This window comes from Homo sapiens, chromosome 12, assembly GCF_000001405.40.
Source record: "Homo sapiens chromosome 12, GRCh38.p14 Primary Assembly".
NCBI classification, from domain to species: Eukaryota; Metazoa; Chordata; class Mammalia; order Primates; family Hominidae; genus Homo; species Homo sapiens.
This window is the reverse complement of record NC_000012.12, coordinates 33,678,881-33,693,829: the sequence shown is the minus strand read 5'-3', so window position 1 is coordinate 33,693,829 and position 14,949 is coordinate 33,678,881. Positions and strand designations below refer to the sequence as shown.

General features: G+C 34.3%; 1 long non-coding RNA gene across 1 annotated transcript; it reads right to left on the bottom strand.

Annotated features, from left to right (window-relative positions):
• Positions 1-1,963: 1,963 nt before the first annotated feature.
• Positions 1,964-7,873, bottom strand: LOC105369726 (uncharacterized). Its single transcript, XR_931504.3, has 3 exons — positions 7,760-7,873; positions 3,168-3,290; positions 1,964-2,150 (listed from the first exon to the last, which is right to left on the bottom strand). It is a non-coding gene; the product is annotated as an uncharacterized LOC105369726 (long non-coding RNA).
• Positions 7,874-14,949: the final 7,076 nt, after the last annotated feature.

Sequence of the window (14,949 nt, the reverse complement as noted above, 5' to 3'; positions counted from 1 at the left end):
AGGAAGGGAAGGCTAAGCTGTCCTGCAAGGGTGTCTAGAGAGTTGTCTGGACACCGCTTATGCTGTGTCACTGCCATTTATTGTATGTTGCAAATCTGCAACACTTTCTCTAGCACTTAAAAAAATACGCAGTAAGCCCTTATAGCTGCATGATCTTAAAGAAAGCTACGATTTTAATAAATAATTACTGAATTTCTGTGCATGAAGAAAGTGAATGATAAATGTGTAATTTACACTAAGTAGTTGTCTTTACCACTCACCCTGAAGACCAGTTATACCATGTTAAAAGCAGAATGCACAATTCTGCTAACAAAACAACCACATTTACTTCAAATGTTATTTGTGTATTAAACAGACATTAAACATTTAATACCTGGAGCTGCAGAAATTGTGTTTATATATTGCTCTATGAAGCAAGACATTTTGTTCCAAACAAATGAAAACAACTGTTTTCTATGTTAATTTCACTCATTTTCTATTTAAAATTATTTTCTGTGCATGCAAGAGAAATGAAATGACAGTTCTTACAGTGTCGGCTCCATTCACCGAACTTCTCAAATAATTGAAAACATTAGTTTTATATCAATCAAGAAATGTTTTCAACAGTAAACCCACTAAGGTGATTCTAACAATGGTTAAATTTATTTCATCCAATTTGAAAGCTCACTTTGTCAAAGATGAAATACTTAACATTAACATTATTATAAATGTCTAAGTCCTGTTAGAAAAAAAATAACTGGAAATATTTTACTTTTTGATGAAAGTAAGTAAAATGGGATTACAAAACCGACAGAGATTCATGCAAATGAACATACATACTGCCATGGCCTGATTGTTTGTGTTCTCCCAAAATTCACCTGTTGAAAACTTAATCACCAAAGTGATGGTATTAAGAGGAAGGACCTTCAGAAGGTGATGAGATTTTTAGAGAGGAGGCTTCATGAGTGGGATTAGTGCCCTTATTAAAGGGACCCCAGAGAGCTGCTTTGCCCCTTCCACCACATGACTACACATTAGAAGGTGCCAAAAAGCAGCCTTCACCAAATAACCAAATCTACTGGTGCCTTTATCATGGACTTCTTAGCCTTCAGAACTTCATGAAATAAATATCTATCTGTTGTTTATAAGCTACCAAGTCTAAGGAATTTTGTCATAGCAGTTCCAACGGATTAAGACACACACACACACCATACACACACATAGAGGATAAAAATATGTACAAAAATAAAATAAAGTAAGGAGTTTTCAAGCAAGTATTGATTGTCGAGCTTCTGTCACAAATAATTTAAAAACCAGTCTAGAAGTAAAATGGCAAGCAATTAAGAAACGATGTAAAATGCTACAATGTCTGATGGAAAAACAGCAGGATTCTTATTAAATAGAGTAGACCAGGAAATTGAACCAAGTAAAAAGAATGGGATTCACAGATGTTGAAAAATCTATTGATTTCTTTCCTACTTTCCCTAAATAATTCTTGACAAAGCATGGCTATATAAGCAAAAGAAAGATACTGTCTGTTTAGTTCAATTCCATATACGACAATAGTCAATGTCTATATATAATAATTTATCTTCTGTCTACATCTGTTTAACCATCTGACATCACTGTTTCAATGATCAAAATATCCCATAACGTCAAAGTACTTTTTTTTGGTGTAACTCTTAATTCTTAAAATGACTTGCTTACAAAAGCTGAAACAATATTCTTTCTAAAACACAGCCTTAATACACTTGGGCCTTTCCTAAATTAGTACTGAGAAACAATACTATGTCACATAAGATAGATTATACTGTGAGCATAATTAAATTTGAGAAAGAATAACCAAAATACAGCAAAGAATATCTAATAAGTAGCTTTGAATTCAATGGCTTTAAATATTATATATATGCATATTTACTTAGAACATTAAATATTCTCTTAACCAATCAGAAATGAATTGTGATATCAGGTAAAAAAAATTGCATAAGTTGAAGTGGGCAAGTTTATTCTACATTGCACAAAATGCCCAAGTTTCAAAGGCATAACACAACAGAAGTTCATTTTTTCTTCTGTTCCTTGTCTACATCAGGTGAACAGTGGGGGGCTGTGCTCTTCACAGTCTTTCAGTTCCTCAGATGGAGACTCCTCAATTCATGCATCCACTCTCATCCCTGTGAGGGAAGAAAAATGCCAAATCAGATATTGACTCTTAAAGATACCAGAGTTTAAGCTTTCATCACTTCCAGTCACATTTTTTGGCAAAGAAAAAAAAGTCAAATAGGTGTACCTAAATTCAAAGGGATAGCAAAGGATGATTCTATCATGTGTTCAGAAAGGCGAACTGATCAACTGTGGTAATATTTCAGATTTCTAGTCACCAAATATTCACTTTACTACCTTCTGACTGCAAAATACACTCATCAACTTCCCAGGAGGGTAAACCAAAATTTCATTCAGTTATGGCATCAATCTCAAAGTTCAAAATTCTGGATGACAGATGTTTGGTAGTCTCTACATCAGGTCAGCTGTGGCTCTTAATCTTCTATAGATGGATAAACTGCAATAGTAAATTATACGTGCTTCTGAACAGAGAATTCACTCATAGACTAGGGATGAGACTTTTTGTTTTAATAGAGAAAGGGTCTCACTTTGTTGCCCAGTCTGGTCTCAAACTTCTGGCTTTAAGCAATCCTCCCACCTCAGCCTCCCAAAGTGCTGGGATTAGAGGTATGAGCCACCATGCCCAGCCAAGATAAATGCAATAAAAACACTTGTATTCAGAAAAGAGAAGATGAGAGATATGGACGACACAGACTTGGTGAAACTGACTTGGGCAAGTAGAACCTATTCTTTGATGAAGTTCCTCTTCTGTAGGTGGGCACTGTGTCCATTATTCCCCCTGGCCCTTGTCTACATCCTAAATGAGCTTCTTGCATAATGATTGGGAGGGCCCAAAATGGACAAATTTTCCTTAGAAGATCTCAGGCATAAATCTCAGACTGGCTCTTCCTTAAAATCTTCCTTTAAACTCAGTAAGCTTCTTATCTTTTTCATCCCAGTCAGTTCTACATATCAGTTATCCTTCTTAGGTTTCATATCTCCTACCACCACCACTCCCACCTAATCTCACTCTTTGCATGTTAACTTACTTGTATTTGGAACTTATCAGGCATCAGGAAAAATTTTACCTTAAATCCAGCTGGAAAGACTTAAACTACTAGAGTCTGGAAGAAGCGGGGCTGAAGAATCCACTTCCAAGATAACTTCTTAAGAAAGCTCATGACAGACAGTTGAATGGTGGTTGCCAAGGGCTAGGGCAAAAAGACGAGTATAAAATTAGTGTTTACTGGGTACAGTGTTTCAGTTTGGGATGATGAAAAAATTCTTGGGATGGTGTTGATAGTTGCACAACAACGTGAATTCACTGCTTACTGCCACAGGACTATACACTTAAAAATGTTTTAAAAGGTAAATGTTATGTTGTATATATTTTATCACAATTGAAAAAAAGCCTATGCCTCAGGAGAGATGATTTAAAAACTGGCTCAATTGGAACTGTTTACTGGAGAATCTAGCACCTGGATCCTCTCTGTGGACTGGGCTTCTTAGACTATAGTGGCTGGGATCTGCAGAAGTCATCTCAAAAAGAGGCCTCCAGATCATGGCCTTCTGACCTAGTTTTTTTGTTTTGTTTTGTTTTTTATCCTTAAAATTCAGAGGTACACGTGTAGGTTGGTTACATAGGTAAATTTATGTCATAGGAGGTGTTATACAGATTCTTTCATCACCCACGTATTAAACCTAGTACCCATTAGTTATTTTTCCTAATCCTCTCCCTTCTCCCACCCTTTACCCTCCAATAGGCCCCAGCATGTGTTGTTCCCCTCTATGTGTACATGTGTTCTCATCATTTAGCTCCCACTTTAAGTGAGAACATGCGGTATTTGGTTTTCTGTTCCTGCATTAGTTTGCTAAGGATAATGGCCTCCAGCTCTATCCATGACCCTACAAATGTTCTTTTTTATGGACCCTATGTTCTTTTTTATGGACCCTATGTTCTTTTTTATGGATGCATACTAGTCCATGGTGTATATGTACCACATTTTCTTTATCCAGTCCATCATTGGTGGGCATTTAGGTTGATTCCATGCCTTTGCTATTGTGAATAGTGCTGCAATGAACATACACCTAATTGTGTCTTTATGATAGGATGATTTGCATTCCTTTGGGTATATACCAGTAGTGGGATTTCTGGGCCATGTTTTTAAAAGGCTGCAAATTCTCTTGACTTAATCCTTATGACAAAGCTCAGTTTAACTCAGCCTTTTTTCATTAAAGGCCTTCTCCATTTGATTTTCTATTTATTAGGTTAGAGAAGGCACATTCCAACATTGTAATTCACCAAATTTCTGGACTTTCCCTTTTTCTACTTTGCTTGCAAACCAGTCATTCTTTTTATTCTGAGCTCTTATCTCTCATGATCCTTCTCCCAAATGCTACCAACGTCAACCAAAGCATACTAGTAACATATATTTTTACAGCCACTTCTCATAGAAACTTGGGCTCTGCTTTCTAAATAATTTCCCTTTCATCTATTGTCACTACATCATGGATTGTAATTTTTTTTCTAGATTCCAATATTGGTTTCCTTCCTGGTTCTTCCACTAATTTATTAAGCCAGTTCCCCACATTTTAAGCCATCTTGTGCATTAGTGAGTGTAGATAGGTTACACTATTATAGGAAATATTCCAAACATTAATAGATTCACTATATGAAATTTTATTTTACACTCATATCTCTTGTCTAACTCAGGTCATCAGGGAGGCTCTGCTTACAATAATCACTTAGCACCTAGGCTGATAGAGACCTTATCTCAATACATGTGTTAAATCAAGATCTTCCTATTAAAACTTCTTCCAGAAAGGATATATCCTTCACTTCTGCTCCAATTTAATTGACAAGTTACGTAGGTACACCTAACTACAGAAAACAATGACATTCCATGTTACCGCGTACCCCATAAAGAGGAAAACCAGAAATATTTAGTGTACAGCACTAATAACTACTATTGAGTTCTAAATGATAAGCCTACAATATCTAGTTTGGTAATTTGAATTTTCATGCCTTGCTAAGTAGATTCAATGGCAATTGTAGCAGTGGGAATAATTTCAATTTTAATTTTATTCAAATGTAATACACTATATATGTTCTTAACTGTGGATATATAGTTGTTAAAAGAAAGTCAGGAAATAAAAATGAGAATTTCTTTTGACAAACTAAAAAAGAACTTTCTGAAAATTAGGATTCTCAAATATCAGAAACTTTTCATAAAGAAAATTTAATATTTTTCTCCAAAGGATCTGCTTTGACACAATTGGATGATTATGCACACTGAGATTTCTAAAATAGTTTGGATGTAACATTAAAATTGAGATGGTATAGATGACTATTTAGCCCTCTCAAACGCTGCTACTTAGATAGTAAGTTGGTACAATGTTCCTTGAAAGTAATTTGGCAACATGTGTCAATAGACTTAAAAATATTTCTCTTGGTTGGGCGTGGTGGCTCATGCCTGTAATCCCAGCACTTTGGGAGGCCTAGGTGGGCAGATTACCTGAGGTCAGTAGTTTAAGACCAGCCCAACCAACATGGCGAAACCCCGTCTCTACTAAAAGTACAAAAATTAGCCAGGCATGGTGGAGGACGCCTGTAATCCCATCTGCTCAGGAGGCTGAGGCAGGAGAATCACTTGAACCCAGGAGGTGGAGGTTGCAGTGAGCCGAGATCGCATCACTGCACTCCAACTGGGGCAACAAGAGTGAGACTCCATCCCAAAAAAAAAAAAAAATTCTCTTATTTGACATGATTTATTTCATTTAAAGAATCTGTAAGAAAGAATAATGAGGAATAATAAGGTTAAAAAACCATGATTTTGAAGATTGCTTAAAGACTTAAGAAAATCCTCATGCTGTACTGATATATTATTAAGAAGTGAAATATGTTCTACACAAAACTGTGTATATATATATATATATATGCACAGAAACACATATATTTATGATTGTGTATATTTGTATATGATTTTATTTTTGTATAATGTACATATATTTTACAGACGCATAACTGGTATGCAGAAAAATAACTTGAGGAAATTATATAAAAATGTCACCAGTATTTATATCTGTGTTTTAGAGTCATAAGAATTTTTATCTTCTTTTTACACTCCTATAATGAACATTTTCTATAAATGCAATTATTTCTTTTATAATTAAAAAATTATAGAATAGTTCCTTTGAACAACCTATAACTTTTAATCTATTTTTAATGGATTTTTAATATAATTTCAGCATTAAGTATGCAAATCAACTGTTTACCTTCAAGTTATCTGCCCACGATCCAGGAAACAATCAAATAAATTATTTCTTATTAGACAATATTTTCTATCAAGACTCTGTGTCAACACATATATTAGAACTAATAATAAGATAAATGAACCAATCTATTATTTTTGTTCCTTTATTGGAGGAGGAAACATGTATAAGAATAATCAAGTCTTAAGCAACTTAACAGTTTTTTTTCCCTCATAAGTGAGAATTTCAGGGGTTTTTGCTTCAGTTTTGTCTGTATAGAGTCCTCCCTGCCACTTCCAATTATCTTTTCTATTTCCCAGCAGAAAACTATTTTCCAATAGAATTAGTTACACACAAAAAAAAACCCTTTTTCTTTTGTCAGATTTTAGTCATCTGGTACTAAAAGTTGCTATGATTATATAAATAGAGAAAAAATTGGTGGTTTCTGATAATCAGTAACAAAACAGAAAAATAAGCATTAAATTTTTAATTTCAATTATAAGGATATTTTCTCATTAATAAATAACATATATAGCTGAGAATGCCACATATATTTCTCAATAGCATAAGATATAACTTAAATTAGTAAAAATTATATTAATTTTGATTATAATTAGAATTGCCCGCTTCATAATGTGTCATCTTTTATACAAAGAATTTTCAAATCGGTTGCAATTATGCACATTAAGTGTGAATTAAGTCCTTTTGCCATTTGGCTTCCTTAAAAAATATGTTACAGTAAATAATACTTTCTAGTGTGCACACAATAAAGTAGGGAAAATTTGGACTGTCTATCCCTTTATACTAAAGATGGCTATAAACCTGCATATTAATTCTATTTTGTCCAGCATCAATTATAATTTGAGTGTTATAACATAATTGCACACTAATGATATAAAAATATCATTATGATGTTTTTCTGAAAGCATCATTACTTATCTAATTTCTTGCTTGCTTCTGTTTTTTTTTTTTTAAATTTTATCCTGTATTGAAAATGTGTACCTAGAAGCATGCCTCAGCTATCTCTTTAGTAGGCCAATTTTTGGCATCTGCCACCTGCACGTTTAGTTCTACCATACCATCTGCTTCAGCTTGTCTTCATTTCTGCTTGGGCTCAGAACACAATACCCCAAAATATGGTTCCTTGGCATGTTAATCTGTCTTTGTAAGTTTTATTTTCAGGCCCAGTCAGGAACCCTAAGGAGGTTGAGGAAAGCTTCCTTCCCTACTCCTCCATTTATGACTCACACTTTCTACTTTCTGTGGGTACCTTTTGCCTTTACACTAAATTTCCCAACCATCTCATTCATAAAATTTTATCCCTTTACAAAATCTATTCTTTAAATATGAGACTGAAAATCAGTGCAATACAGATTTTTAACTGTAATCAGTAATAAGAATTACTGGAGTGACAAAAGCAAATACTTACAAAGGATGAAGTAGATATCTTCTAAAGGAGTGAAGTGGCCTGGTAGGATCAATACAGTAACAGAATTTTGGCCAAAGAGAAAAATTACTGGTCCAGAGAGGGAGGATGCAGAATCTTATGAAACAATAAAGAGATTAGTAGAAAATTAGCCATTTCAGAACTAAGGAAAAATTAATTCCACGTATTCAAAATCAAGAAATAAAATGTAAGAAAAGTTAGGGTAAAAACTGAGTAATGGTAAAACTTTAAAAAAAAAGCCCAAGGGATACATAATACATTGATATTATGATGTAAGAAATTTATTTAAAAACACTTCAGTGTGGAGGCTGTGACTAAAATCTATATTAGTTTCAATTTGCATCCTAGGGGCAGCAGTTGCCCTAATCAAGAATTCACACTCTGGAGGTGGTCTGCTGTCCTTTAATCTAAAAGGCCATCCCCAAAGGCAGCTTCTACTGGTGTTTCAGCTATCTTTCTCTTCCATCAACACTTGAAGCTACACTAATTTATACAGTGAAAGTTAAAATGCTTATCCATTGGTAAAATTAGTAGTTTCTCAACTAGCACAGAGGATTTTGGACAGGAGCTTTCTTTGATAAAATTGAAAAAATTGTGTGTGTTTTTATTTAAATAAATTCATGCACCCACCTCTAAGTGGGAAGATCAGACACCAATAAATGGTCAGCAGGATCTGGACCTTATTCAGTTGGTTGCAAGACAGAGTCTGTAACTCTTTTGCGAACCTAAAATTTTCTGAGAGAGGTCTCAATCAAATTTAGAAAATTTATTTTGCTAAAGTTAAAGGATGCATCTGTGACACAGCCTCAGGAGGTCCTGATGACATATGCCCAAGGTGATTGGAATACAGCTTGCTTTTATACATTTTAGGGAGACATGAGACACCAATCGCTATGTGTGCAATGTACATGGGTTTGGTTCAGAAAGGCGGGGCAACTGAAAGGGGCAGGGGTCATGGCTTCCAGGTCATAGATAAGAGATAAAAGGTTGCATTCATGTCTTTGATCACCATTTCACTGAATACATAATTCACATGTGTTGGGGTAGAGTAGTAGTCACTTATGCCTTAGTCTGATTCAGTGAATCTGCATTTTTACATAAACAATAGGGCAGAAGAAGCAATAAGATATGCCTTTGTCTCAGGTGAGCAGAGGGATAACTATGAGTTCTGTCCTTTGCTCTGCACCTGTGAAGATAAGTGATTAATGTACATTACCGGGGTGAAATTCAACAGAACTGTTTTAGGGTAAAGATCTTGAGGCCCACAAGGAATTTCCCTGTGGGAAAATTGTGAGGGTGATATGTAGCTTTTTTGTCTTTATAGCTATCTCATTCTGAAATAAAACGGGAGGCAGGTCTGCTAGATGCAGTTCCCAGTTTGACTTTTCCCTTTGGCTTAGTGATTTGGGGGTCCCAAGATTTATTTTCATTTCACAGATTTTTTGTTTCCTGAATAACAAATGTCTACTTGTGTGTCAGAGCTTATTCTGAAGCTTCTTTTCAGTAGAATCTGGTAGTGAGAGAAAGAAATATGAAGAAGGAAGAAGGAAGAGGGAGAAGGGGAAGGGGGAGGGGAGGAAATAACTAAACAGTTTTCTAATTCCTAACTAAATTAGGCTGGTTCCAGAAAAATCAGTTTGCAAAATTAGGAGCACGATAGGCATGAACTGAAGATCCCCTGTGAACAAGGCAGGATGTTCAATATTGACAAAGGTCTCAACAAACATCTCACATTTTTATGATGGAAGATAGTTTCAGAGGAAGGTTTCTACCAAAGTTAGGCTTCTAGCCTCCTGCAGAAACTGGGAGATGGGAGAGTTATCTTCCTTGATGATTTTGTGTCAGAATTGTCTCCCAGGTCCTTCAAAGAGGCATTCTGGATCTTAAAGTTGGTAAGAGTCTTGTTTAGCTTTTTAAAAGATTTACACATCTTTTAAAGACAGAAATAATTTACAAGTTTTCTAAAGCAAATGTTCTCAGAAAAGGGAGAAAAGGCTCTCAGTCTCAACAGGGAGAATTGAGAATCTGATTTTATATACGTATTCGTATATTTCTGATTTTGTATTTGTATTTGTATTAAGGCAATTGAATTTCTATAGGACAGGACAGAATTTACATATGTAAAGAAAGAATTGTATTTGTTGCCATCAGTTAGCTACAATGTACAAACTTGCAAAATAGCTCAAAGACAATGAAAGACTAGATTCAGATCATCTGGAAGAGTGTACTCCAGGCCGGGCGCGGTGGCTGACGCCTGTAATCCCAGCACTTTGGGAGGCAGAGGCGGGCAGATCACGAGGTCAGGAGATTGAGGCCATCCTGGCTAACACGATGAAACCCCGTCTCTACTAAAAATACAAAAACTTAGCCGGGCGTGGTGGCGGGCACCTGTAGTCCCAGCTACTCGGGGGAGCTGAGGCAGGAGAATGGCATGAACCCGGGAGGCAGAGCTTGCAGTGAGCCGAGATAGCGCCACTGCACTCCAGCCTGGGTGACAGAGCAAGACTCCGTCTCAAAAAAAAAAAAAAAAAAAGTGTACTCTAGAGGTACATAACTGAAGTACAATTTTTTTCTCTACAGTATTAGTGATTTCAATTTGAAATATGTAATGATTTAAGATATATTTTAATTTGTAATGATTTAAGATATATTTTAATTTGTAAGGTATTTGATAATTTGGTTATTGATATGCAGTAGTTGAGTGCTTAAGACAAGCTAATCTGTTTCATTTATAAATTTGACTTATTAGATTTGCCAGAATTGCTCTGAGAGCTTCAATAATTCTCCAATTCCACATATATCTTATAATTCTCAGAGCAGGAATTATAACTGAATCTCCTTTCCACATTACCATTCTGATCCTCCAAAATTAGGCACAACAAATTGAATGATAGGTACTCAGATTTTCTCAGTTTCTAAAGAGATATGTTGCGGAATAAACAGAAATTATAGAACTTTCAGTAGGCCAGCATGTAGAATAAGTATTTCTCAATCTTTATTTTCTTACAAATTTTATAATTTTTCTGTCATAAATGAATACAACTATTACTTGTGTTATGTCATATTTATCATAACTAATAACTTATTATTTATGTAGTTTAATTCAGTATTAAGTTAACTCTTTTTCTAATTTATTCTATTCCTATACAGTGATATCTTTGGAATTATGAATTCAATGTACATATGCTTTTAAAAAAAATTTAATAGATGTAAGTATAAATGTTTGTCAGTGAACTGCCTACAATTATCCGATATAGCATTATATGTGTACATAACACATTCTTCAAAACACTAAGTTGAAGGAAAAAGGAAAGTTCTTCCTCAGTGGACAAAAATACATCTAGAAGAGCAGAGAGGTTTCACACAGTTGTCAGGTTTTGGATCATGACTTTTCATTCCATTTTTATTAAGTGTGTGATGCAAGAAGGTTACAGCTCTAACGACCCCTGAAATTGAACAACCAACATGTAAAGAGCACTATCAAAATGAATTAGTTTATTTGAATGCACTTCATAAATTACAAAAGAACTTAGAACACTGAAAAGCTTCAGAGCTTCACAGCAAGCCATAACTATGGGACGAGCCAAAACTTCCATAAGTTTATAAATTATTAAGGAAGAATATACAATTTTTAAAAGTTTAGATAAAGAGGGAAGATAAGGCCAGGGGTGGTGGCTCATGCCTGTAATCCCAGCACTTTGGGAGACCAAGGCGGGCAGATCGCTTGAGCCCAGGAGTTCGAGATGGTGAAACCCCATCTCTACTAAAAAATATGAAAATTAGTAGGATGTGTTGGCACACGCCTGGAGTCCCAGCTACTTGGGAGGCTGAGGAAGGAGAATCACTTGTGCCTAGGAGGTGGAGGTTGCAGTGAGCCAAGATCTCACCACTGCACTCCAGCTTGGGTGACAGAGTGAGACCCTGTCTCAAAAAGAAAAAAACAGGGATGATAAGTCCTAAATTTGTTTTCTTTCATCCATGTTTTAATTAATTATTTATGTCCTTAATCTTTGAATGCAATGTTAATTGAGACTCACAAATGTAAAAATTATAGCTCTTTTCTAAAATGCATCAATGTTAGGCTGTGTCTCACTTCACTTCTGATGAGGCTGTTAATTACTAGGTCTATGAAAATCAATGATAGTCCATTAACTCATTGTAGTCAAAGACCCAGGATTATTCCTCTCCATTCATAGAGTAAGTCCGGTTAATTCATTCATAACTTAGGACTGGCATTTTTCTCAAAAGAAAATTGAAAGAAGACATTTAAGTGTTGCCCTCTTACAATCTTCAATATTTGAGATTCTTTGCCTAAGCAATTTCCTTTGCATAAGATCTTGTAAGTTTAGGATTTCATTGTTTTAAGTTTCAAAATTCAAATATTGTGCCAAGTAGCCAAGATTGAAAATATTAATCTATCTAGATATTGTCCCAATTGAGATCTGGAAACAATGGTCACATGTTGAAATTCTGCCTACACTCATCCATTTTATGCAAAATGGTGGAAACTTGAATAGGTAAGGGCAAAAATAGGCTAACAAAACAGTGAGACTGAGAAGGAACACATTCTAAAGTAAGCAGTCCTATGATTACATGAGTAAATTTTATGACAAAAGAAACAACTATAAATAATTAAAAACTTAAGCATCTATTTTCCAATTCAGTTTTGAATTACCATCAAAAATTATAGATACCTTTACTTTTGGGGTTTGGAGTCTTGGCCTTTTCCTAGTTTGCTTCCTTCCCTTGCTTTTGGGAATCCTTATTCTGTTTTTAGACTTTTCTCCTGTGATATTTCCATTTACTGATTCCTAATTCTATTACTTCTGTAAAATTCAATTTCCAAAAAATACTCAACCTCTAGAGATAGTAAAAGTTGATAGTTCACTTCTTTCCTCATAAAATGGACTTTGTGTAGTTTCATTTAGAGTTGACTTGCTTCCCAACTCCATACATATTACATAACGAAGTGGATTATTCAAAATTAAAAACTGAGTTCCTGCTAAAATTCCATAAATTTGTATTGTGAGCCTATTTAATGTAGAGAGGATTGTTTTAACTCTGTATTTAAAGAATAAAAATAGGATAAGGAAACCTTTTAATTTTTCAAAACAAATAATTTTTATTGCACAGGCAGGCATTCTATATACCTATATATTTATGTGCTATGCCATCAATACATTATATACCATATCATTTTATAATTTCCTACTTTATGATTATTTTTGCAGTATAGACACATTTTAAAGTATAATTAGTGCTTATAGTTTCCCAACGCATTAAAACAATCCCTTGATTCACATATTTGTATTAGGTTTTTCCTGTTTTTATGGTATTCCACATGAGATTTAAATAGTCAGACTGTAATTACAGCAAATTGCCCAGCGTAAGTATATGCCTATATTAATGGAGCATCAGAACACTTTGTATCAGAAAAGTGTTATTCATTGTTCTTATTGGATGCTAAGGCTGGGGGCAAATCCTTTCTGTGAAAATAAAACAAATATTAAAGTTACTTCGGAAGAGAATAAAAATAATAGTATAACTTGTTTAAGTAATGGTCAAAATGCAGAACTAGATAGAATGTGTTCCTAATACTTATGAAATAATTTAACCTGTGGATTTGACATGGGTACTTTTGGAAAAAAAATTAGGATATGCAGTTACTTTAAGATATAAAATGAAATATTATTAGGAGCTTCCAGTTTTAGATGACTCTGATGTGGCTGGCATTGAACTAAGCTCTATTCCAAAGCTATTCTATTTGTTATTTTAACATTATTCCAATTGTTAGTACTTTTCTTTTTACATTTTGCACAAGATCTCACAGTTGGGAACCAATGGAGATTTATTTGATTGAAGTATTTTTGAATCTAAAGTCTATGTACTTTTCAAGATGTTACACTTTTTCTCTCCATATCACATTAGAAGGAAAATGTTATTTCAGTCCACTATTGTACTCCTAGAATATTTCAATTCTTCATTTACTCATTAGTTCAGAACACTTAAATCAGAACCTCCTCAAATAACATCATTGTCATGGTAAAATAAATTATCCAACTAATAATTAAAGACCACATATGTTGAGCATGCTCTGTTGCTCAACATGCTCTGTTGCTGATGTTGAGAAATAACATCAAAAATGTTATTTCTTACCTTCTCAATAAACATTTAAGATGGGCATCATTCTCTCGGTTCTGTAGATGAGACATTAAGTTACAGAAGGCCAAGTTTCTAAGTAACTCAGTGGAATTGGAATCCAACCCTCTTACTGTTGAAACTCAAATGACTTGCACAGCATTATTTCCCCACGCTGCAATTAACACATTTTCCTACCAAAAGTTCTGTCTTTCTATAACTCTAGTAAAGCTAATGAAGTAACTTCAGTGAAGTAGAAATGAATTACTGATCTAAACAGATTAAGAGTGTTACACTTCTAAGCCTTAACTAATTTTGATATAATTTTGCCCTTAATTTTGCCTTCAAAAAATTTTTATTGTGAGTGCTTTGTGATGATATCTGCCATAGGTCTTGGGGATCCATGTTTCTAATGTGTTGAAGAAATGTTCCTTAATTCAGAATATACTTTAAGAGTATTTAAAAATCAACAGTTTTTTTTTTCAGTAAATGCCATAGTCATATAATTTAATGCAAAATAATTAGTAAGAAATTTATTCTCTTTGTTCTATATTTCTCTTTATTCTATCATCAATATTTCTTTTTTATTTACCTTTTAAATTCAAGGGTACATGTGCAGGTTTGAGCCATGGTCTCTCAGCGTGTGGGCAATATATAGAATAATTTAGTCCATCATCCCAATATAGCAAACTTTTATCATTTTCCTGATCCTTTATGGCTATAAATTAATCTGAACTGTTCTATGGAATAGCATATCCAATTCATTAACTAAGGAATCAGAGTATTTGATGTAAATACTTGTTGGTCATCTTCTTTGTGCATAAACCAATCTGCACACTTTAAACAACACACATTATTCAAAGGACTTTATACTCTTTTTCAATTTCTCTGTAATAAATTACCACAAACTTAGTGGCTTAAACAAACATACAATTATTATCTCACAGTTTCTGTAGACGAAAAGTCCAAGCACAGCACAGCTGGATTCTCTGTTCAAGGTCTCACATGGCTGAAATAAGTTGAGATATGTTCTC